This window comes from Homo sapiens, chromosome 7, assembly GCF_000001405.40.
Source record: "Homo sapiens chromosome 7, GRCh38.p14 Primary Assembly".
In the NCBI taxonomy this organism is placed as follows: domain Eukaryota; kingdom Metazoa; phylum Chordata; class Mammalia; order Primates; family Hominidae; genus Homo; species Homo sapiens.
The window spans coordinates 77,899,664-77,924,289 of NC_000007.14; the positions used below are offsets into that span (position 1 = coordinate 77,899,664).

General features: G+C 36.5%; 1 protein-coding gene and 1 long non-coding RNA gene across 25 annotated transcripts in view; one reads left to right on the forward strand and one right to left on the reverse strand.

The window, feature by feature from the left end:
• PHTF2 (putative homeodomain transcription factor 2) overlaps positions 1 to 24,626 on the forward strand; it is a 158,732-nt gene that overhangs the window by 100,891 nt on the left and 33,215 nt on the right. For 21 of the 24 annotated variants that reach the window (XM_011516422.4, XM_011516423.4, NM_001127358.2 and 18 more), the window contains 6 exons: positions 1,048 to 1,117; positions 2,099 to 2,257; positions 9,130 to 9,295; positions 10,582 to 10,746; positions 20,616 to 20,802; positions 22,960 to 23,115. In XM_011516422.4, coding sequence (XP_011514724.1) covers positions 1,048 to 1,117; positions 2,099 to 2,257; positions 9,130 to 9,295; positions 10,582 to 10,746; positions 20,616 to 20,802; positions 22,960 to 23,115 — 903 coding nt within the window. Of the gene's footprint in view, positions 1 to 1,047; positions 1,118 to 2,098; positions 2,258 to 7,308; positions 8,294 to 9,129; positions 9,296 to 10,581; positions 10,747 to 20,615; positions 20,803 to 22,959; positions 24,523 to 24,626 lie in introns of those variants that run through there. The other 3 variants (NM_001127360.2, NM_001127359.2, XM_011516424.3) reach the window with 2 other exon arrangements.
• LOC124901682 (uncharacterized) lies at positions 11,341 to 19,042 on the reverse strand. Its single transcript, XR_007060398.1, has 3 exons — positions 18,833 to 19,042; positions 13,882 to 13,950; positions 11,341 to 11,413 (listed from the first exon to the last, which is right to left on the reverse strand). It is a non-coding gene; the product is annotated as an uncharacterized LOC124901682 (long non-coding RNA).

Genomic DNA, 24,626 nt, shown 5'->3' on the forward strand with positions numbered 1-24,626 from the left:
TCAAATATGGTTCTCTTCTTTGTTTTAGATTCAAACAGAATACTTAATCAGATTTTTACTTTGATGGGGGGTGTCATTGTTACTTGGATTAGGACCAAAGACAGGATTTACTGCACAGTTACTTGCTTAATTGAATGAATAAAAACCAAATCATCTAAACACTTGTGTCATCTCGCAGTAATTGGCTCCTGAAGAGTTTAGCTTAAGCTCTTGCAGTTCTTTTTGTTTGTTTTCTCTTTTTTATTTTTATTTTTGTTAGCTCTTCCAATTCTTAACATTCTAGTCTTAAGTAATAATTTACTTTGTTATAGGTTTTTTTTTCACTAGTTTTGATCTACACCCCCCACTCCACTCTGTATACTGATAGCAGAAACTTAATTTTACTCAGTGTTCAATAATTTCAAGTTTAAATGAATTCAGTTTATGACAACTGCCTCTCCCTCCTCCCCTTCCTGGTTATGGTGTCTAAGTTTTGAGGTGATGAGGTGGCATTTATGGTCTGATGAGGGGTTGACATGTGAACATAATGGCAACCATCATCCTTGAGTAGTGCATTGTCCTCCCTGGGTCTCAGCTGATTGGCGTCTGCTGAGAAGTCTGCATCCTTTCTGGTCCTCAGCTGTGTGATTTACTGCTTTCTGAAATAATGCCTCCAGCACCACACCTTGAGGTTCCTTCAGGGCTGCTGCTCCCCTAGCTAGCCTCAACGCTCTCCAAATGCCAATATGGGGCCAATATAGTTCCCTCTACACCTAAAGCTGTACACCTAAATTTGCTTGGTAGTAATAGTATTTGTAGTAGAATTTTACTGTTGGTAATAAACCGGCCTGGCATGTTACACACATCTCTAAATATATCTTTTTGAACAATAATAAAATTTATTACAATACTGTAATTGTGTTCTGTTTGTAACAAATGCATAATGTGTTACATTTTGTTGGTACTATTAACAATTTTATTTTAAATTGAAAGCTTTAGAAATTGATTTTCTCCTGTTCTAGATTTAAGTATATATACAATTCCAATGCTTCTTTTGATATATTATAGGGGCTAAGGAATAAACCAAAGAAAACAGCACATGTGAAACCAGACCTCATAGATGTTGATCTTGTAAGAGGTGAGTCTGATAAATAAATGCTTAATACAAGTAGACATTGTTCTGGAAGAAACAGAATTCAAAATAGGTTTAAATATTGTATTAGGCTGTTTTGCATTGCTATAAAGAAATACTTGAGATTGGGTAATTTATAAGAAAAGAGGCTTAATTGGTTCATGGTTCTGCAGGCTGTACAGAAATCACAGCACCAGCACCTGCTTCTGGGGTAGGAAGCTTTACCCATGGCAGAAGGCAAGCGGGACCAGGCACATCACATGGCCAGAGCAGGAGCCAGAGAGTGGTAGTGGGGAGGTGCCACACACTTTTAAATCACCAGATCTCCTGAGAACTCACTCACTATCTCAAGGACAGCCTCAAGCCATGAGGGCTTCACCCTTATGGCCCGTATACCTCCCATGAGGCCCTGCCTCCAGCATTGGAGATTACAATTCAATATCAGATTTGAATGGGGACTGATATTCCAAACTATATCAGATATCTATCTGTCTGTCTATCTTTTTAGAAATAAAAACATTGTGAACCTTGATGAAGACAAGAATAGTATTAAAAAGAGAGAATGGGACCAGGTACAATGGCTCACACCTATAATCCCAGCACTTTGGGAAGCTGAAGGCAGAAGGATCTCTTGAACCCAGGAGTTTGACACCACCCTGGGCAGCAGAGTGAGATCCTATCTCAACAAACAAACAAACAAACAAACAAAACCAAAAAACAATTAAAGTGGTGATTTGTAATTCCTAACTAGAACTGACATTTGAATATTGTTCTATATTTATAAAATATGTGGGAGAAATTCTGTTATTTCAAAAAATGTTTTTTTCAAAATATTTAAAGTATCTATAAATTGGACATTTCTCACTCATAGTATAATACAGAATAAAATTATGTGGTGATGTTTTTCAAACATTGAAATTTTTTTCTTTAAAGAAATTAAAGAATAATATATAAATATACTCTGTTGTCCTATTTTACTTTTTTCAGGGTCTGCATTTGCAAAGGCAAAGCCTGAAAGTCCTTGGACTTCTCTGACCAGAAAGGGAATTGTTCGAGTTGTATTTTTCCCCTTTTTCTTCCGGTGGTGGTTACAAGTAACATCAAAGGTCATCTTTTTCTGGCTTCTTGTCCTTTATCTTCTTCAAGGTATAATTAAGTGATTTTTGCTTTTACTTTTCAGAATGTTACATTGTTAGGTTTAATAAGTCTTTGTTTTAAACATATGCTAACTACTACTGAGTATGATGTATAAGTATGTTAATAAAGGCACATAATTGATTTGGTATTAAAAATATTTGAGAAAACAAAGCAGTTATTTTTCAGTATAATTTTATGAATATTTGAATCTATAGATGGCTAAAGAAAAATAGAAATCGAGAAGATTTTTTAAAATTAGAAAAAAAACCTCATCAAAATGCATCTTCCACACATACATACATACCAGTCTTTTAAAAATACAACCTATACAAGTTTATTATTCCTGCCATAGGTATAGTTTCTTTTTTCTGTGCCTTTTACCACCGTGATGTGAGCTGTCCTTATACTTTATCAAAATTCTGTATACCGTGCACTCTGCTAGGTGCTTTCTAGATTCTCATTTCATTCTCACATCAACCTGATGAAGTACAGGGACTGTTACTATGCTTCGCTTATAGACGTGGGACCTGAAAGACCTGAGTGCCCAACGCCACATAGTCATCAAGTATGGTAGAGCCCAGATTCAATTCTAAGCATTCTGATCCCAGAACCACACACTTAACCGCTCTTATGGTGCCTCCTAAAACAACATTCTAGTGCATAGTCTTAGCAGCAGTATATAACACAACATGTATAACATTGTAGAGCATTTAGAAACTAAAGAAGAAACTATTCATATTCCATCACGTGAACAAAGCCGTTATTTTCATTTGGTTCATGTCCTTTCAGTCTTTTTAATATGTGATTAAAAAAAAAAACCATGATTACAATCCTGAATGATTATTTAAATTTGTTTTATCAACAGATTCTAAGAGATACTTTTTAAATAAATGAAAATATAATAAAAACTGCAGACTGTTATTTAGATAAAGTTGTTTCTTCTAAGCCAGGTTACATCTTATATACATAAAAGGGTGTGGACTATGATAATTTTGTGGTTTGTTGTTATTAGAATGTGTGTATGTGTTTTCTGATTAAAGATATAATAATATTTTCATGGCAGGAAATTTGGAAAATGTAGAAAAAGCTAAAGAAAAAAAGAACTACCCATCATCTTGCCTTTAAATTTATAATACTTTTTAAATAGTTGAGATTATTTTATATGAACAGCTACATTTTTTTTTACCTAATGTCATAATATCAAAGTCTTTGTAAATATAACTTCTAAGTTACTAGAAAATATCTTGTCCTACTTCAATATTGGGCAGTTAAGCTGATTGCTATTTTTTGCTATTATAATTACTGCTGAAGTGATCATATTTGCTTATCAGTATTTTCTAGTTATAGTGATCATAATTTTTATCATTTTCTTGTTTTCTTCTCAAAAGGACTTAAGAGAGCTTAATTTAAGTATAGTTATCTTCAAAGGTTTTCTGGCTTACCTAGATGAGAAAACTTTATTTGAATGTGGTCAGAAATTGCAATAGTTTATTAGAGTAATTCAGTACCATTGATTGTACATCACAGTGCATTGTGCTTTTTAAGATATTGCTGCTTTCTAGTATTCCACGACAAACAAGTTTCCAATGTAACTAAAAGTTCACTGACATTGTATAATTATATTGTGTCTGAAATTTACTTACTGGTTCCTCTAAGTTAAATAGGGAACACGGGTTAGATTGGGCATTAAATGAGATATTTTTAAGTTCAGAATCCAAGTTTAATCATAAGGCCCTTATGATGAACACTAAACATTCTCCTAGTAAAGCTTAGTTAGAGAAATGACTTAACCTTCTTAAAGTCACACAGCTAGTGCCAAAGTCATGATGTGACTCTGATGACCCTCGGCAGGCTGCCATTACCTTTGAAAACCACTGTATGTCTGTCTCCATTGCAGCACCCTGTGGAAAAGCAGGGTGCTGCAGTGCTCTGAGTTATGTCCTCATTCTTGTTCGCACTTCTTGAAAGGCAGAAAGAATCAAATGCAGTCAGATTTGGTTTTATATAACTATGTATAGTTTTTTTTATTTCAATTACATGCTTTTTAAGTATCTCAGCTATGTATTCTCAGCTCTATCCCCATTTCTGCATGTCTTGGTTGCCTAGTTTCTTGCCAAGATTACTGCCAGGAAACCTCATATCATCTTCTACTTTCTGTCCATTTACCTATTAAATGACAAATTCAAACCAGCTGCTTAAGATCTAAATTTCTTCACTAGTTATCATTGCTTTCAAGATGCAATCTGAGTTTTCAAATCCCTCCTTGAATTTCTATCCCACCTTAACCAGGCTAAACTAGCTCTTTGCTGTTTCTTAAACATTCCATGCTTTTTTGCCTATGTGTCTTTGGACATGCAACTCCCTTTGCGTGGGGTAGCCCTTTTCCCTTTTGTTTAGTCAATCCTCTATGTTCTCTCAAATTTAGATTAGACATCAGACATCACTTTCTTGAAGAATCCTTTCGTAACTCCCCAATGTAGTTACATATCTTTCTTATGTATATTATAGCAGTTAATCATAAGTGTTATATTAGTCACCTTGGGCTACCATAACAAAATACCACAGATTGGGTGGCTTATACAACAAAATTTATTTTTTCACCATTCTGAGGGGTGGAAGTGCAAGAGTGAGGCAATGTCAGAGTTGGTGTCTGATGAGGCTTCTCTGACTTGTAGATGTCCACCTTCTTGCTGTGTCTTCACAGGGCCTTTCTTGTGTGTGTGAGTGGAGAGAGAGAGTACTCTGGTATCTCTGCCTCTTCATATAAAGACAAGAGTCGTATCAGTTTAAGGCCTTACACTTACGAATCTGTTTAACCTTTACTACCTCCTTATAGGCCCTGTCTCCAAACGTAGTCACATTGTGGGTTAGGGCTTCATTCAGCATATGCATTTGTGTGGGGAGGATGAAAGGAGCACAGTTTAGTTCATAACAGGTATTTTCATTGTTTCTTTATATGTCTCTTCTTTCCTGTAAACCAAGCTTGTCCAACCCATGGCCCATAGGCCACATGCAGCCCAGGATGGCTTTGAATGTGGCCCAACCCAGGTTCATAAACTTTCTTAAAACCTTATGAGATTTTTTTTAATTTTTTTAAAGCTTATCAGCTATCGTTAGTGTTAGTGTATTTTATGTGTGGCCCCAGACATTTCTTCTTGCAGTGAGGCCCAGGGAAGCCAAAAGATTGGATACCCCTGGTCTAAACCAAGGGATAGGGAGCGGAGACTGTGTCTTGTCTTTTTTTCTGCATTGCCTAATTGCCACTGAATCTTAAAGATTAACAGTCCTAAAAATGGAAGATAATATTCCATTCTATTCTATTCTGTTTTTTAGACATAGGGTTTTGCTTTGTTGCTCAGGCTGGAGTGCAGTGGTGCGATCATAGTTCACTGCAGCCTTGAACTCCCGGGCACAAACAATCCTCCAGCCTCAGCCTCCCAACTAGCTAGGACTATAGGAGCACGCCACCATGCCCAGCTAATTATTTTTATTTTTATTTTTGTAGAGATGGGGTCTTAATATGTTGCCCAGGCTGGTCTTGAACTCTTGACCTCAAGTAATCCTCCCACTTCACCCTCTTAAAGTGCTGGGATTACAGTTGTCAGCCACCACAGTTTCTCTCTGTTGCTCAGGCTGGAGTGCGGTGGTGCAGTCATGGCTCGCTGCAGCCTCAACCTCCAAGGCTCAATCATTCCTCCTACCTCTACCTCCATAGCTGGAACTACAGGCATGCACTGCCATTCCCAGCTAATTTTTGAAATTTTTTTGTAGAGGCAGGGTTTCGCCTTGTTGCCCAGGCTGGTGTCAAACTCCTGGGCTAAAGCAGTCCACCCGCCTCAGCCTGTCAGAGTGCTGGGATTACAGGTGTGAGCCATTGCATCCAGCCTACTCCTAGAGTTCCCCTTGCCCAGTACGTGAAGTCCTGCCTTTGAAATATTTGTGCCCAACAACATTCTGTCTTAGTTGATCTCCAGCAGAAATCTCTAGCAGCACTGTCTAGTTCGTAGGACTTCATTAAATGCTCAAAAAGTATAACTCAGCATTATATAAAATAAGTGAATGTTTTCTCTATATATCTTCTTTTTTTTTGAGACGGAGTCTCGCTCTGTTGCCCAGGCTGGAGTGCATGATCTCAGCATGATCTCGGTTCACTGCAACCTCCACCTCCCAGGTTCAAGCAGTTCTTCTGCCTCAGCCTCCCGAGTAGCTGGGACTACAGGCGTGTGCCACTAAGCCCAGCTAATTTTTGTATTTTTAGCAGAGATGGGGTTTCTCCATATTGGCCAGGCTGGTCTCAAACTCCTGACCTCGTGTTCTGCCGGCCTCAGCCTTCCAAAGTGCTGAGATTACAGGCAGGAGCTACCACGCCCGGCTCTCCATATATCTTCTAAACCTTAACTTGAGAGGAAAACAAAAAGGGGAAGTGATACCAGAGTTACGGAGGAAAAGCTACTGTCTCAGGAACTGAGACCATGGGAGGGACATGATCACTTTTAGAAAGATACAGTCAGAAGAAAGAAGGAAAAAGAGAGGAAGAAAGTGGCTCCTCCTCCTTTTTCTAATGCCTTGTCGTCAGAATTTCACAGTATGTAATAACTTCCTGTTAAGATATACAGAAAATATAATTTGTATGCTCCCAGCCCTAGGATTACAGAGAATGGTGATCACAGGGCTGAAAGAGTTCAGATAAATAACCAGCAACAGGTTATATAAAACCTAAAGTTTTAAAAGATGTTCTCCTTTGTGTCTGAAACTCTGAACTTCTTAAGTAAGCATTTGTACTTGCCCCTTTTAAAATTAGAGTTAATGGCACGGTGAAACCCCATCTCTACTAAAAATACAAAAAATTAGCCAAGCGTGGTGGCGGGCACCTGTAGTCCCAGCCACTCGGGAGCCTGAGGCAGGAGAATGGCGTGAACCTGGGAGGCGGAGCTTGCAGTGAGCCGAGATCGCACCACTGCACTCCAGCCTGGGCAGCAGAGCGAGACTCCGTCTCAAGAAAAATTAAGAGTTAATGGTAGCTAAAAAAAAAAAAAAAAAAGCTACTATTCACCAATGTTAAGTATACATTTACGGTGTATAAGCAGCTTTTCAAAATGTTTTACATGCACTACCTCACCTAAAACCTATTATAGTGCCTATGTACTGTATGTATGCTGTGTACTATGTAGATACACAGAAGATTAAACCAAGGCTCAAAAACATTAAAGAACTTGATAAAAGTCACATTAGAATTCATATTAAAAACAAAAAAGACTCTCTGCTTTTCAAAATTCCAGACTGTTATGGAATAACTAGAGAATTTGGGTTAAATTCCAGGGTAATTCATAACGATGATTGGCATTTTAAATTTTTTTTTCTTATTACTTACAGTTACATACAGCTGAAATTTGTTTTCATGATACTCTTTAAGTATATTAAAGTGTATTAGCAGATTAAGTGATGTTTTAAGCGTTTGGTATATTGGACCAGGATTCTTTGAGTTGCAGGTGGCAGAAACTAAATGCAAACTAGCTTTTACAAGAAGTTGGTTTTTTTGGTCGTTAATTTTACTGTTTATCATAAAAGCTAAACAAAAAAAACCCAGGAAACTAGATAGAATAGTACAACAGCTGGGGTGGCCATATGTCCCAGTTTGCCTGGGATTGTCCAACCCAAGTTTACTCATGTTGTCCTGGTGCCTTTCACTCTCAAAAGTGTCTTGGTTTAGATGGTAAATTACATGGTCACCCTAAACACCTAAATACCCATCTCTTTAACAATGATTAACGTTTTGGGATGTTTACTTAATCTGTTTTGTTAAGTAAATTATATACATTGAGACATTTTACCCCTGAATACATCAATATATGTCTCTTCAAAATAAGCACATATAACCACATTACAGTGATAACACTTAACAAAATGACCAAAAATCTTATAATATTTACATTTTATTTTAGGTACTCCTTGGCCCTGGATTCAGGCATGGCTGGATTGAGAGGCTCGGATAATATCTTCACTTCTTTTTGCTGTAGACTTTGGTCTTGCTGGTCACATTCTTAGGTTGGCTCTTTCTAGGTGGTGGCTAAGGTGGCCCCTAGCAATTTCATTTTTTCATAGTCTTTAGTGTTTGTGATCTAGGAGAAAGGTCTTGAAGCACCTATATTAGTCCCTGAAAAAGACTGATTGGCCCTGCTTAGGTCACTTGCCCATCTTTTTATAAGCTTTTGTATTCAGACTTACTAAGACTGTGACAAGCCTAGGTTACATGTCTATCCCTGAGGTGGGAGAAATAAGAATGTATGATTGATGGATAAAGGAGGGAGACGAAGGTAAAGAGAGTTTATGTCCAGAAAGTCTAAGGGATGCTGTGTAGGCAAAACAAGATTTCCCTTCATGTAGTAATAGTTAGCATTGATGGATGTTTAGTGGTTTCTCTGGAAACTATGCCTAAGTAAATTTGTTATTAATTCTAAGGAGATAGACCTCTATTAATAAGAAGCTCTTTGTATCTGTATGATACACTTATCATAAGATTTCTTTATTTGTAAAACAAAGAAATAATGTACTTGAGGTTAGGGTAGTTCTTTGATTGTCTGTGATGTTACTTAGAAATGTCCTTTGATTCATATGCATCTAATTTACGTTGCAGCGTTGAGGTGTAGTTTAGAGACTATGTTGGGTGTTGTCTTGTTCCGAGAGTTTATTACTAAATACCATGGTTAGGCTGCGGCAGACAATAAAACAGTCTGAGAGAGCTTGTCTCTATAGTAATATTTTAAACTCATTTAAATTTAGAAAAATATTTTGGCAAAAAATAATGTAAAAACAATTTTAAAAGTTTTGAAGAGGTGACTATCAGATCTATAATTAAGCATATTTTCTTTCCCTTTTTATAGTTGCTGCAATAGTATTATTCTGCTCCACTTCTAGCCCACACAGCATACCTCTGACAGAGGTGATTGGGCCGATATGGCTGATGCTGCTCCTGGGAACTGTGCATTGCCAGATTGTTTCCACAAGAACACCCAAACCTCCTCTAAGTACAGGGGGTAAAAGAAGAAGGTACTGTTTTTTAAAAAGTAATCTTTTTGTACATTTATGTAATTTGAATCTACGATTGTTCTTGACTCCTCTTACCTTCATAGACTAAAATCTTATCTTGTAAGGTTGCTGTTTCAAAAAAACACTGAGCTTCAGAATCAATTACCAGATGATTTAGTTTCCATATTTGCTTCAAGGCCATTTTAAGACCACATGCCTGTGTTTTTGTTTCTTTTTTTTTTTTTTCCTTGAAGCTCATTTATAGTCACCTAATATCAATGTAGACAATATATGTTAGCTAGATTGTTAATAATTCCTACTACTTATAAAAATCTTGTATTTCTAATAGAAGATGCTTTGGCAAAAACAAAAACCTAGAAAAAATTTCAGCTAAACTGTATTTACTAAATGCTATTTGGTTTTGTTTTGTTTTTTTTTTTGTATTTTTTTTGAGACAGGGTCTCACTGTCTCCGTCACCCAGGCTGGAGTCCAGCTCACTGTGGCCTGGACCTCCTGGGCTCAAGTGATCCTCTCACCTCATCCTCCTGAGTAGCTGGGAATACAGGTGTATGCCACCCCACCTGACTAGTTTTTTTATTTTTTATTTTTTGTAGAGATGGGGTCTCACTTTATTGTCCAGGCTAGTCTTGAATTCCTGGGCTCAAGCGATCCTCCCACCTCGGCCTCCCAAAGTGCTGGGATTACAGGCATGAGCCACCACACCTGGCCACTAAATTCTGTTTGAATCTGTTTAATATTACCCTTGATTCAGTAAATATAGCATATCTCACTGGCCAATCAGCACACTGGAGTTTGTTTTAAGGTTCTTTTGGAGCAGGTCCTCTTTTGAATATCATTGCTAAGAGATTGTGACATTTGTAGTTTTTTGGTGCTGAGATTTAAGCCCATCTCATTTTTAAAAGATAATACATTAGATAAATAGCAATGTCCATAAATTAGATTATAATTCTCTCCAATCTAAATTTTCTTCTTTCTTCATCTGCAGATAAGTGGCATTCAAATAGGGAAGAAATGCTTTTGTAAATATCCATCCAATGCAATCCTTTCAATCTTCTGTCCACTGACCTGCCACTATAAGCAAGGACCAATACCTTAACATTTCTAGAAATTGGTCTTGAATATGCATCATGATATTTGGATTAAATTTTATCTAGTAAATCTAAATTTTATTATGTGTTAAGTAAAGTTCCTGTGTTTATGTTTTCCAAAATTTTGATTGTACTACTGAGAAAGTGGTTATTAAAATATTAAAGCTGCCTTCCATTCTTAATCTCTTCTGATGAAGGAAATTAAGAAAAGCAGCCCATTTGGAAGTACATAGGGAAGGAGATGGTTCTAGTACCACAGATAACACACAAGAGGGAGCAGTTCAGAACCACGGTACAAGCACCTCTCACAGCGTTGGCACTGTCTTCAGAGATCTCTGGCATGCTGCTTTCTTTTTATCAGGGTTTGTATTTATTTAAGGTTTTATATGGCATAGAGATGGCACTATCCTTTTTCTGGCACTTCAGTCTCAGGTAATGAATATTAATTACTTTAAATGTGACAGCCTCATTATGGATTTTGTTTTGATAAATTATAATAGTATAGATAATGGAAAAATAGACACTGTAAACTTTATTTGGCTCATGTGTACATACATCTATACGAGAATGAATATATCAAAGCATATTTAGCTAGGATTTCCTTTTTTTTTTGGGACAGAGTCTGGCTCTGTTGCCCAGGCTGGAGTGCAGTGGCACGATCTCGGCTCACTGCATCCTCTACCTTCTGGGTTCAAGTGATTCTCCTGCCTCAGCCACCCGAGTAGCTGGGCTTACAGGCACGTGCCACCACACCTGGCTAATTTTTTGTATTTTTAGTAGAGATGGGGTTTTACCATATTGGCCAGACCTCGGCCTCCTAAAGTGCTGTGATTACAGGTGTGAGCCACCGAACCCGGCCAGGATTTCTTGATTTTGGTTTCTTTTATATTTCTGAAGTACTATTTTACTTGTGTTAATTGGTTAATTTATTTTTATCACCGTTTTGGGTCAAAATTGGCTGTATTAAAATGTCATGTGAATTGTATAATTTTTTTCTTCTAAGTTCTTGCCTCAATTATCCAAAATTATCTGAAATAAAACATATAGGCATTGTTACTTAAGTGAATAAAATGTATATTATAGTATGTGATTCTACTTTTGTACAATGTACCATGAGCATTTGTGTACTATACAAAAATGGCTTTTTGCATACAACTATACAAAAATGGCTTTTTGCATACAACTATACAAAAATGGCTTTTTGCATACAACTATACAAAAATGGCTTTTTGCATACAACTATACAAAAATGGCTTCTTGTATAGTTTGTATAGTTGTACCATCAATGAAGACTTACCAAATAGGAAAATATAATTACAGCAAACATTAAAAAAAACCTAACTCAAGCTTGTATTATTATTATTATTATTTTGAATATTCAGAACACTTAAGGGTTGTATTACTAGTTTATATATACCTATAATAAATGTGAAAAAAGTTAAAAGGCTATGATCAAAATATTGAGTGTAACTGATGAAAGGTACTTAATCAAGAAAAGGGATATTGCAAATAACTATTCTGTCACTTTGTTAACTCCACTAATACCATATTTCATCAATTTGTGATTGTGCTCTTAGGATAAAGTTTATCATGCATTACAGAACTAAGCAGTTATATCCAGGGCATATTTTCGTTGATTGTAATTTTGGGGAAAGTTTTCCAGATTTTAATAGTTTACAGTAACATGGCATTAAGTGAAAATCCTTTCTATTCCAATCACCTATTCTTCCTCCAGGGACAATATGTTTTGTTTTCGTTTTTAAACTTGGGTTGAATTCTGTCTATATCTCTCTCTTCTTTAGTCTTTTAAAAAAAATGTTTTGCACATAACTAACTTGGATGTAATATAGCTCTCCTTTCTAACTTTGGCATGCAACAATTTAGTCACTGCAAAGTCAGTTTCTTGAGCATTTCCAGATAAGCAGTTATAAATAGCGTAATGGATATATTTCACTTTTTGGGAATCATTCTTTTGTTTTGGTTGTCTACAACTGATATTATGTGTAGTATTCAGAGTCCCCCTAAAACTAGCAGGGTTGATACCTTTGGAAGTTTACTATGTTTCTCTTATCAAATGAGATAGAGACTTAAATATTCCTCCTGTTGGGCAGCAGCATGACCATGATCATGACTGCCATTGCAGTGGCTGTCCATTATAGTGGCGAACTCACTCTGGATTTATTCTCTTTAATCATGACAGCTGTACATCTAAATATTTTAAAAGATGTACTGTGTTTATCTCATTTTGGGGCTGGTTTGCTAGCATATGAATGAGACTTTTATTAGGTACAAGTAGATCTTAAGAGAAGTGTTAATTTTAGAAGTCCTAAGCTGAGTTCAGAGATCTTGATGATATTTTCTTCTTTCAGGCTTTGTTAAGACAGGAAGTGCTTAAACTAAGCACTTATCAACTAAGCACTTATCAACTTATCAACTAAGACTTAACAAAATTGTTTCTGGTGATAAATTGAAAAGCTGGATACTTCCGTTAAGTTATCTCTGTTAACATAACTGATAGGAAAATAAATTAATAACCACACAGATACCTAAGCTTTGTGTATGGTATGTTGATGGTTTTCTAGATGTTAGGTTGAGAACCACTATTCTATTTTTGTATATATATATATTTTTAACCTATCTCACTGCACACTGAGAGAACCACCTTTTTTTTTTTTTTTTTTTTTTTTTTTTTTTTTTTTTTTGAGACAGGGTCTCACTGCTGTAGTCCTTGGTGGAGCGCAGTGGCGTGATCATGGCTCCCTGAAGCCTCAACCTCCCAGGCTCAGGTGATTCTCCCACTTCAGACTCTCAAGTAGCTGGGACTATAGGCATTTGCCACCATGCCCAGCTAAGAGAACCACTATTTTAAAACCCTGTATTTATAAGTTGGAAAGGTACTGTTTGTCATCTCTAAGTACATTTTATTCTCAAGATAAAACTATTATTTTTGAAACAAGACATAGTATTTTTCATTTGAAAAATTGGGAATTACTTTAATAAACCTTTATGAACCTGAGAAAACAAAGTCTAAGAAAATGTCAATTTAAAAAGAGATAGAGGCTGGGCACGGTGGCTCATGCCTGTAATCCCAGCACTTTATGAGGCCAAGGCGGGTGGATCACCTGAGGTCAGGAGTTCAAGACCAGTCTGGCCAACATGGTGAAACCCCACCTGTACTAAAAATACAAAAATTAGCTGGGCGTGATAGTGGGTGCCTATAATCCCAGCTATTTGAGAGGCTAGGGCAGGAGAATTGCTTGAACCCAGGCAATGGAGGTTGTAGTGAGTCAAGATTGTGCCACTGCATTCCAGCCTGGGTGACAGAGCGAGACTCTGTCTGAAAAAAAAAAAAAAAAAGATAGAAATCAATTATATTTCCTAAGGATTTAGTACTTTAATTTCAATTAATTTTTAATTAATGTAATTATAGTTTCTATTAAAGAGATTGAATAGGATGAATTACATCTTGATTGTGTGTCGTTCAGCATAGTACTTACTTCAGAAGTCACATGGATCCTAAGTTTTCTTTCATGTCCTCTAAGATTCATTTCACCGTGACAATATCACTGAAAAACAGCAAACAGGAATTACAGCTCTCACTATGTTGCCAAGGCTGGTCTCAAACTCGTGGGCTCAAGCAATTCTCCCACCTTAACCTCCCAAAGTGTTGAGATTACAGGTGTGAGCCACTACACCCAGCTTTATTAAATCTTTAACTTTCACTTTAGTGTTAAAAACAGTAAATACTAAGGCTAAAAGTGACAGGAATCTTAAAGGTAGATCAGTCAGGCATATTAGTTAACATGTGATCTGGTTTTATTCTGATTATCTGTCTCTAAATCACCAGGTCAAATTAAAATACAAAAAAATTAGCCAGGCATAGTGGCACGTGCCTGTAATCCCAGCTACTTGAGAGGCTGAGGCAGGAGAATCACTTGAACCTGGGTGGCAGAGGTTGCAGTGAGCTGAGATGGCACCACTGCACTCCAGCCTGGGCGACAGAGCTGGACTCTGTCTCAAAAAAAAAAAAAAAAGGAAAAAAAAAAGAAATATCTAATAAGTACCATCCTAAGCCAGGCATTGAGTCACATGCTGGGAGTACAATGCTGAAGCTCATAAGCTAGTGGGGGAAAATCACATATAAACCCACTGAAATACAGTGTTAGAAATGCAAACAAAATATCCTAGGAGAACAAAGGAGGGTACAATGATCTCTGCCAAGGAGAGTCAGGAAGGCTTCACATTTCGATTGGGTCTTGAAGTGAATTTAAACAAGGAGTTGGATATGCAATATTTTTACAAGAAGAGTAGTTCTCAGAAATCTGATAAGGTCATAGAAACTAAGCTAAACTCAAGAAGCTAAGAATAGGAGAGTGAGCAGCTAAGGCACAGTGGAGGAGGAGAGCGGCAACCTTATGATGGTTCACTGACTGGCTGAATGACTAAGTCTGGATTGCTGGGCCTTCTTCGAGGTCCTTCCCCCTCAGCTTGGAAAGATATTCCTAGGAAAAGCCCCTAGTTGTCCCTACAAGCTTCTTTAACACCCAGACCAGAATTAAATCTGAGATTTTTTTTCTCAGAGAATCATGGAATGATAGAGTCAGAAAAGATACTGAAAATCACAGTTTTGTTGTCTCTAACATCCCTCAGAATCTTAGGGATTCTCAAAATGGGAAATGAAAGTCTGTAATCAATTTTCAATATTCTGAAAAACCTACCAGAAATTTGACATTTTCTGGTAGTATTAAATCACAGCTTTCCTTGGTTTGTGCTAGAGTTATATCGGATCCACATTAAACTGAGATTCTGACTGAGCTGTCTTCTAAATATAAGCTGTTTCCTCATTATTATTGTTATTATTATTATTAGTTTTTTTGGGGTGGAGGATGGAGTCTCGCTCTGTTGCCAGGCTGGAGTGCAGTGGCACGATCTCGGCTCACTGCAACCTCCGCCTCCCGGGTTCAAGTGATTCTTCTCCCTCAGCCTCCCGAGTAGCTGGGACTACAGGCACGCACCACCATGCCCAGCTCATTTTTGTGTTTTTAGTAGAGGTGGGGTTTCACCGTGTTGGCTGGGATGGTCTTGATCCTTGACTTCGTGATCCTCCTGCTTTGGCCTCCCAAAGTGCTGGGATTACAGGCGTGAGTCACCGCTCCTGGCCATTATTATTTTTTATTTTTTATTGTTTTTGAGATGGCGTCTCACTCTGTTGCCAGGCTGGAGTGCAGTGGTGCAATCTCGGCTCACTGCAACCTCCGCCTCCCGGGTTCAAGTGATTCTTCTGCCTCAGCCTCCCAAGTAGCTGGGACTACAGGTCCCACGCCCAGCTAATTTTTGTATTTTTTAGTAGAGAAGGGGTTTCACCATGTTGGCCAGGATGGTCTCAATCTCTTGACCTCACGATCCGCCCACCTCGTCCTCCCAGAGTGCTAGGATTACAGGCATGAGCCACCATGCCCGGCTTGTTTTCTCATTATTTTTATGCTCAATTTGGTAAAAAGCTTTTCAAAATCTAGGAGTAAGGTAATAAATTACTACAATATTTGCAATTTACAAAAAAACATTTTCACTGATTTCATCTTAATTTATTCTTCATAACACTGCAGTCACTAATAACAGCAGAGCCGGGAGGCCACCACTCTCGGGCCAGAGTTCTTTTCAACCGCTCCAAGCTTCTAGGGTTTTTTCCTTGCCAAGGGTGTTGCTAAGGGTGCACTGTGCATGTCCAGGAAATACTGCTTCTATCATGGAATAAATAAAAGCGTGTATAGAGATATATGTCTCCTGTTTTCAAGAAACTACTAGCCTTGCTGTCCAGGTGCCTGTGATTCATGGTGTTTGGGTTGATCTAAGAAAATAGCATTAACTCTGGTTTTATGAAATGAATATTACATGCATGAATTGTAAATATCAGAAGGTAGATTTGTGTGTCTGTGTGTGTGTGTGTGTGTGTGTGTGTGTGTAATACTAAAAAGTATAATTTCTTCCTATACGGTAATACTTTAATTCCTAATATCAGCTTCTTTCTGCTTTCCATTTTTGCTGAGGAATGGTGATTTCAGTATATATGTTTATTTTAAAATCAAAATGCTTTTTATCTTGCATTCTGTTTATTTTTGTGCATGTTTTGAAGTTGACAAAATAGAATTAACTTCCCTTTTAAAAATGTAAGTAGAATTTTACAATATTTGTTTTTTAAATAAGTCTCTCATCCCCACTGCCTTTACTGTATTTTTATTCCCTAAAACAAGGCAACAGGAGGAATTATTTAAACATCTAAGTCTCAGTAACCTGTGTTCCTTTTAATAAATTAATTTTACCAATACTGTCCCTTTGAGGTAGTTACTTTTGTTTATTAATGCCAACATGAGTCATATAGCAATCAGTGGTAAAACTAAACCTGCCTGGAGCAACCACGTTTTTGACCCTCTTTACCTGCAATAATTGGAATTTAGCTCTCCTACCATTTACACTCCAGCTTGGGAGACAGAGTGAGACCCTGTCTCTCTTAAAAACAAAACAAAACAAAACCACAGTTGTTTCTTGGTATCCATGGGAGATTGGTTCTGGGATACCTCCACCCACCACCACTCCCAACCACCCCCCCACCCAGGATACCAACCTCTGAGGATGCTCAAGTCTCGTGTATAAATGGTATAATATTTGCATATAACACATGCATATCCTCTCATTTACTTTAAATCCTCTTTTAATACCTAATAATGGTATAAATGTTATGTAAATCATTATTATACTGTATTGCTTAGGGAATAATGACAAGAAAAATACGTCTGTACATGTTCAGTACAGGTGCAAGCATAGTAAGCCTAACTGCATTTTCAATTTGAGGTTGGTTGAATCCACAAATATGGAACCTGTGGATATGGAGGCCTGGTCGTGACCCACTTATTATCCTGCTTTCACCTTCTAGCTTTAGCATCTATAGATTATTCTTGCCCTAATTATTGTTATGATTCCCAAGTGGTTATTTTTCTAACTCCATCATTCCTTCTACATTTATTAGTCGGCATTCTGCTTTAAGGAGAAGTTTTCCTTTATTTATTTACTCATATATTTCTATTTTATTCAATTTTTTATTGTCATTTATTTTGATGATCAGATCAACCTAATTTTGGCCATGGAACCCCTTTGAGCAATTAACCTTGCTATCCGACATATCTGTATCAGTCTTTGAGCATTTCCTTACTTTCTGGCACAACAAAATGTTTTGGGTTCAACTTGTATTTCCTCTGTCCCAGCCTAGAATCAACTATTGTTTCAAGAAGAGTAGTATATAGAAACCAAAATCTGAGTTCAAGATACACTTGTTGCGATTGGGGTGTTGTTAACCCCAGTCCTTTTCAGTGAGCACAGCTAGAAAATGTGTATTTGGTCCTTTACAATTACATTTATTTCTATAGCTATCCAGGTATATTATACACCATCAATTTGCATTGATAGCTCCAATTCAAATACAATCCTGCGGGGTTCATTCTATCTCTTCTTTTTATATTTATATCTTCTTTCTGTGTCAGTGAGAAAAATCTGATTCCCATTATCCTCAATATGTTTACTTATTCCATTAGTCACCTTTATATAGATCAACTTCTAACCCTGCCAGGCTGCACCTGGTACTTTTCTCTAATATTGTCCCTAAATGGGCTTCCATTATTGACTATCACTGGGCTGCTTTTGCTGTCCCACTCCACTGATATTCTTGCAAGTGCTTTCATTACCAGCTACTGGCAGGCTGCCTTTGTTTGTAAACTCTGAGAGTAATACTTACATTTAGCATTTTTCTTTTGCCACTGCAGTTTAGTTTGCAACTTACCTTCATAGGGTTCATGAGAAGCATCAAATACCTACTACAGCTTAGTAAATTACTGTTCTTGTCTGCTGAGAGTGTAGCATGAACTTTGAGGAGATAGTGGGGAGAGAAACAACCCAGAGAAGATTGGAGGGAAGCAGAGGTAAGGACAGGAGGAAGTGAGAGATAGCTGAAAGGTATCATATGGGATGAATGCTACCAGTACTCTTTCCCCTGCTTTCACGTAGTATTTACCCTGCCCTGTTAAGGAAAGAATACATTCTCCTTAGAAAAATGGTTAAAGCAGCAGTTATTACAGACTCAAAGACCCTTTTACTGGCCTACCCTCACCCCCCTACCACCACCCTTTTTTTTAACCCTATAGAGTCTGGTTCATTCTACACATTCCCAAATTTTCAGCCACTATTTCTACTTTGACTGCTGGCCTCCAGGCTCATGTTTTCAGTTGCCTACTAACATTTCTCAGAGTGTTCCATCTTTCTTCCTAAATAAATTTCTCTTCTTGCATATACTGTCTGATTAATGGTTCTACCAACTTTTCCATCTTCTTTCACCTAATTTATCCCCCTTTTCCTCTCCCTTCTCAGCCCAGTCTGATTTTCATGAACCTTTATAAATACCTTTCCAGTACATTCTCTCTTCCTTATCTTTGAGTTTCTGACATTTTCAGGATATCAAGTAACAACTTCACTTGGTCTTTTTCCACATCTGCAGGTTGCACAGTGTTCAAGGGAGAGGTAAAGGAGACAATTAATAACTAATGTTTCTATCACTTTCTTTCCCAGACAGAGGAAGTAACAAGTTTCCTCTGCGTCTTTTATTTTCTATTTTTTGCCCATTTTCCTCTATCCTATAATTCATGTTCCTCCCTCTCTCCATCCTCTTTATCCTATGGCTTATTGTTCCCTTGGTCTCTCCATGCTTCTGAGGATCATACAGAAAGTAAAGGATCTGGAGATTTGGCTTTTCAGTCTTGCAACTCTGTGGAGATGTGCTCTGAATGACTAAAAAGCACTGGAGCTCTGTAGAGCATATGGGAAATAATGGTCTTTCTGCCCCTTTAGGAACCTTGGAGAAGAAGGACAAGGAAGGAAAGGGGCCTGTTTGCATAAGACAGAAACTTTCTAGGTTGATGAGTGTGTTAAAAAATCCTAACAGGCAGTTTCCCAGAGAGTAGGCAGTTTGAGGTAGTATGGAGAATATAATTAACTTAATAGTCAGAAGGTCTGTACTCTAGTGCGAGCTTTGCTTCTAACTGACTGCATGACCTTAAATAAGTCACTTAGACTGGTTCTTCGTCCTTGTTTCCAAAATGAGCATGTAGAATAGGTGAGTTTTAAGGTCCTGCTCAGTTCTAAAATACAGATTCCAATAGAACTGAGTAACTTAGTGTTAAAACTAATGTGGGGTTTTTTGGTATGTGTGCATTTTTAAAAAACTTTTGGTTTTTGACCTAACTGAAGGCAATATACTATTTTTATTTTTCCTTACTTGCAAAATTGATACCTCTAACAAAAATTCAAGGGAATTTATTTAAATATAATTGCTTTAAAAATGTTTTATGATAGATAATCTGCATTGAGCACATTTTAATTTTGTGTGGGACTAACTTTATATTTCTACTAACCGTTTCCTTTGGATAACTGTTCTTTCATCCACTGTAGTCTTTGAAGAGGACTCCTCAAGTGTTTGCCTGTTAGTAAAAAACATCTTATTTCCCATGTTGTATTTTATGTGTTGAAAAAAAAATTTATTCTTATAAATTCCTCAATTCTAGCCCTTTAGATATTTATAAGCTGCATGATTGCTAATATCTTTTCCAGAGATTATTTCAGTGGGTGAAAGAGGTTACTTCTTTATTTTCTTTGTGTTGTTCTTTTTCACTTCTTCCATTATTTAGAAACTTATTTAAAATTTTCGTTTTTTTATATCTTTTTATGTTGCAAAAGACCTGTGTCTTCACTGTATATTAAAATGAGTTGTATACTAAAAGGAATTTATCAAACTAAGTTAAACCATGAATTGCAACTTAACCTGACAATTAGATCATTTCTTAAATAAAACTTCAAAATATATTTTTAACCATAATAAAATGGGCAAAATTTTGTTTCTAGATTTTGTTCAAAGACCAGATGATTTACTAAGAATTTTTTGATAAGTTAGGGCATGTCTCCTAGAATTGTTATCTGTAAGACCTCAAAACCTTTAAGCTGAAATAGGACATTAATTTACATGTTTATTTTAGCTGTTAGATATATTTCTAAATTATTATACAAATAGGGTGGTCATTAAAATTTAGAGAAATAGCTATCTGATGTAATTATTAACAGATTATAATTTCTATCAGTAACCTATCCAAAATAAGCTAAGTCCAAACATTCTTCTGCATATTTTAATTTTTAGATCAAAGAAAGCAAAGAATTCAATTGATAAATCAACTGAAACTGACAATGGCTATGTATCCCTTGATGGGAAGAAGACTGTTAAAAGCGGTGAAGATGGAATACAAAACCATGAACCTCAGTGTGAAACTATTCGACCAGAAGAGACAGCCTGGAACACAGGAACACTGAGGAATGGTCCTAGCAAAGTACGTGTGATTTTTAAAATAGTTTGCCTATGTGATTTTATATTAGCCAATGTAAAGTGACTTAGATATAGTAGTTGCCCTTGAACTAAGTATTTTCTCCAGAATTAATTCTGTGAGCGTTTATAACACTGATGAAACTGTAAATGAGATAAAGTGTTGTGATTAAACTTGATTGACAATATAATCTGACACCTTCTGAATTGATGGCTTCAGTTTTTCCAAAATGCTTTTTTTGAGACGGGGTCTTACTCTGTTATCCAGGCTGGAGTGAGGTGGTGCGATCTTGGCTCACAGCATCCTCAGCCTCCCAGGCACAAACGATCTTCCCACCTCAGCCTCCTGAGTAGCTAGAACTACAGGCATGCGCCACCATGCCCGGCTAATTTTTTTTTTGTTTTTTGTAGAGACAGGGCTTAGCCATGTTGCCCACGCTGGTCTCGAACTTCTGGACTCAAGCAGTCCACCCACCTCAGCCTTCTAAAGTTCTAGGATTACAGGCATGAGCCACTGTGGCTAGCCCCAAAATGTTAAAAGCACTTTATAATTTACAGTTGTTGTTTGTTAAGCCTTACTTTTTCTTTCCCTATTTCTGTGTGTGTAAGAATTTGCACTAAGTGGAACATGCGAATAATTCAGGAAGCTGAACAGGGAAACCAGTTTTCCATTCATGTTCTCTATAAGAAGATATCTTGTTTTTCCTGCATTCATTACCTGTGGTGTCAACATACCTGTTTTGTTTTCTTTTGTTTTGTTTTTAATCTGGAAAAAATCTTACTGGGGACATATTTGTTAAAGAGAACAATTATTTCTTTACTTTTCCAAAATAGAGAGACTCTGGTTTTATTGTAACAAAGCTTAATGTGATGTCTTCTATTTCTTTGCTTCACTGAATTTTTTTTGGTTGAACAGTTTATTCTTTAGAAGCTGTTACAGTAAAAAAATAGAGAGAGAGTCAAATTAAAAGATGTTACCTCTCTTACATTTGGGAATGTGAGCATGAACATATTGTGTTAAGGAAAATAAAGAAAAGAGGATTCTCTAATTTTGGGTAAAGTATATGTTACTACTTGAACGTTCATGTATTTTCAGTACCAGTAGCCATAGAAGAGCATGGGCCTGCAATGAATGTAGTCCCTTACTCTGATTTTAGATTTTTTTCAGCATTTAGCTCTGATAATGTGAGCCTCTCATCACTGTTATTCAGCAGATAAATTTTCAGTCATATGCTTTCAAACACGTTTTCAGGCTTGTATTAATATTACCTAGTAAAGTTGTATGAGGAACATGAAAATATCAATAAAACGTATGCTCTAGAGTCATTTAATTTCGTAATTTCTAAACTCTGGATATCTTTTACAAATTGATGTGTGTAGAATGTTGTCTGACGTGCGCACATGCAGTTGCTATTTACTTCCTCTTATCCTGTAAACCATTATTAAATTAGTGGTGGGTCTTACAATTGATGGCTTTTTCAGTTTGAAAAAATAGTATAATATGTTCTTTCACCTTCTTTTAAGTGGTCTCTGTTCTGCTTTTCTCCTGTTTATATTCCTTTTTTTTTTTTTTTTTTTTTTTGAGACATGGTCTCACTATGTTGCCCAGGCCAGAGTTCAGTGGTGCGATTATAGCTCACTGCAGCCTAAAACTCCTGTGCTCAAGTGATCCTCTCACCTCACTCTCCTGAATAGCTAGGAGTACAGGTGTGCACTGCTATGCCTGGCTGATTTTTTATTTTTATTTTTTAAGAGACTGAGTTTTGCTATGTTGCCCAGGCTGGTCTCGAACCCCTGGCCTCAAACAGTCTTCCCACTTCAGCCTCCCAAAGTGCTGAGATTACAGGCTTGAGCCACTGTGCCTGGCATATTTCTTATTTTTGGATGCTGTTTCAAATCCTTTTCTGAACAGAAATATTACAGGATAATATTTGACAAATGGCTGTTGAAGTACTTTTAAAAGTAAAAATGCCTTAAAAGTATAGTCACTGATTTAAGATATTTTTTCAGAAAATCAGGTAATACTAATTAGTTACTTTGTGGTAGTTGAGGATATTTTGAAGTTGTGTGTATATATGTATGTGTAATTTCAAATTTCATAGTTTAAAAGCTAAAAGGTTGGTTAGAAATTACCTATAATCCTCTTTGTGTACTCCCAACTTAGGATACCCAAAGGACAATAACAAATGTCTCTGATGAAGTCTCCAGTGAGGAAGGTCCTGAAACAGGATACTCATTACGTCGTCATGTGGACAGGACTTCTGAAGGTGTTCTTCGGAATAGAAAGTCACACCATTATAAGAAACATTACCCTAATGAGGTATATACTTTGTCCTTAAGTGTATACATACGTATCTATTTTATATGTTACTAATTTATAACTTCTTTCAACAATTAAAAATTGTTGAAATAAATATTTCACATTATTATCAATATTTATTATTGTTGTATGATCTGGATTTATAAAATAGCAGTTTTAGGTTTACGTATTGCACATGTATTGATAGATAGCCACACATTTGAGCTCATTTTATGCATTATCTTTGAAGACTCATACATTGTTTGTTGTTTGCTTTTAAAGAAGAACATTCTGGAGAGAGAATCTGCAAACTCCTGTGTTCACTTTTTCCACAATTTGAAAGGCTTTATACATTTGATCATAGCAAAGTTATTTTAAGTAACTTCCTTCATATTGCTGTCACCAGTTATTAAGTCCCCATACTTCAAAATTCAGTTCTTTTTTCTTTGTTTCTATTTTTCCTTATTAATCTTTATTTTCTCTAAACCCTTTTCAACTATATCATATCTCTTGAGCTTCAAATTGTTTAAATAAAGAATTTCATTCAATTGTATTTTCAGTTTCTAATCTAAGGGTAGAACATTTGGCTTTAAGGCAAATAAATTACACTGTTTATCACTTTTTTATAAACATTACCTTCTACTCTTTTTGAGCTATGTTAGTAATTTTTTCCTTGATGGTTTTGGGTTAAACTTGTAAAACAAACACATGTTACGCTGTGCTGGAATATGATTGCCTTCAGAGTATTAAGATTAGAAGAGTTACTATTCTTTGCACACTCTTCTTTGTGGTTGTGTCTCTGGTTAATCTTTCTGGTGATTGTGGTTTTGTTTCTTTTCCCAGTGGTTGCCATACAGACACTAATGCCAGTGTGTCTGCTCTATTGCCTCTTCACCCATGTCATTTGATGTAGTGTTTCTTGTTCCTAAGCCAGATAACCAAGCTTGTAAAATTTTGTCTTACTGTATGTACTGTTAGAAGTCAGTTGGTGCTGGAAGGGAGACGGAGGGCTGTTTGACCCCTCTCCCAGAATAAATTATTTAGCAGTAGCAGTATTTTTCTCACTCCATGATCTTGGCTTTTGTTGGTTTGCAACTGTATTTTAAACGATTGAGTTTCTTGAAGCGCAGAACATTATTCTACCTATTAACTTTTAAATTAAAAGGTTGTTTAAAATCTTGATTTCCAGCTAAGTAAGGCTGATAGTAAGCATTGATTTACATCTTTTTTAATGATATAAGAAATTACATAAATATAAAATATGGCTATAAAATTCTTCGTCTATAAAGTGAAGAATGTAGACTAGGTGATATTTTAAAAGCTGCATTCAGTTCTCAAAAATTTTTACTCTTAAACCAGCTTTAAAGGGCGTTTCTAAAAAAAAGCAAAATAAAGCCTCCTTTGAATAAATAAAATGGAAACAGAAGATTTGTAGTGCTCTTTTGCGTTTTTATTTATAAATTTAAATTTATTTTATAAATTACTGTACTCTCTCCAATTGCTAGTAATGTTTTTTCTTTAAGAGTGAGGCA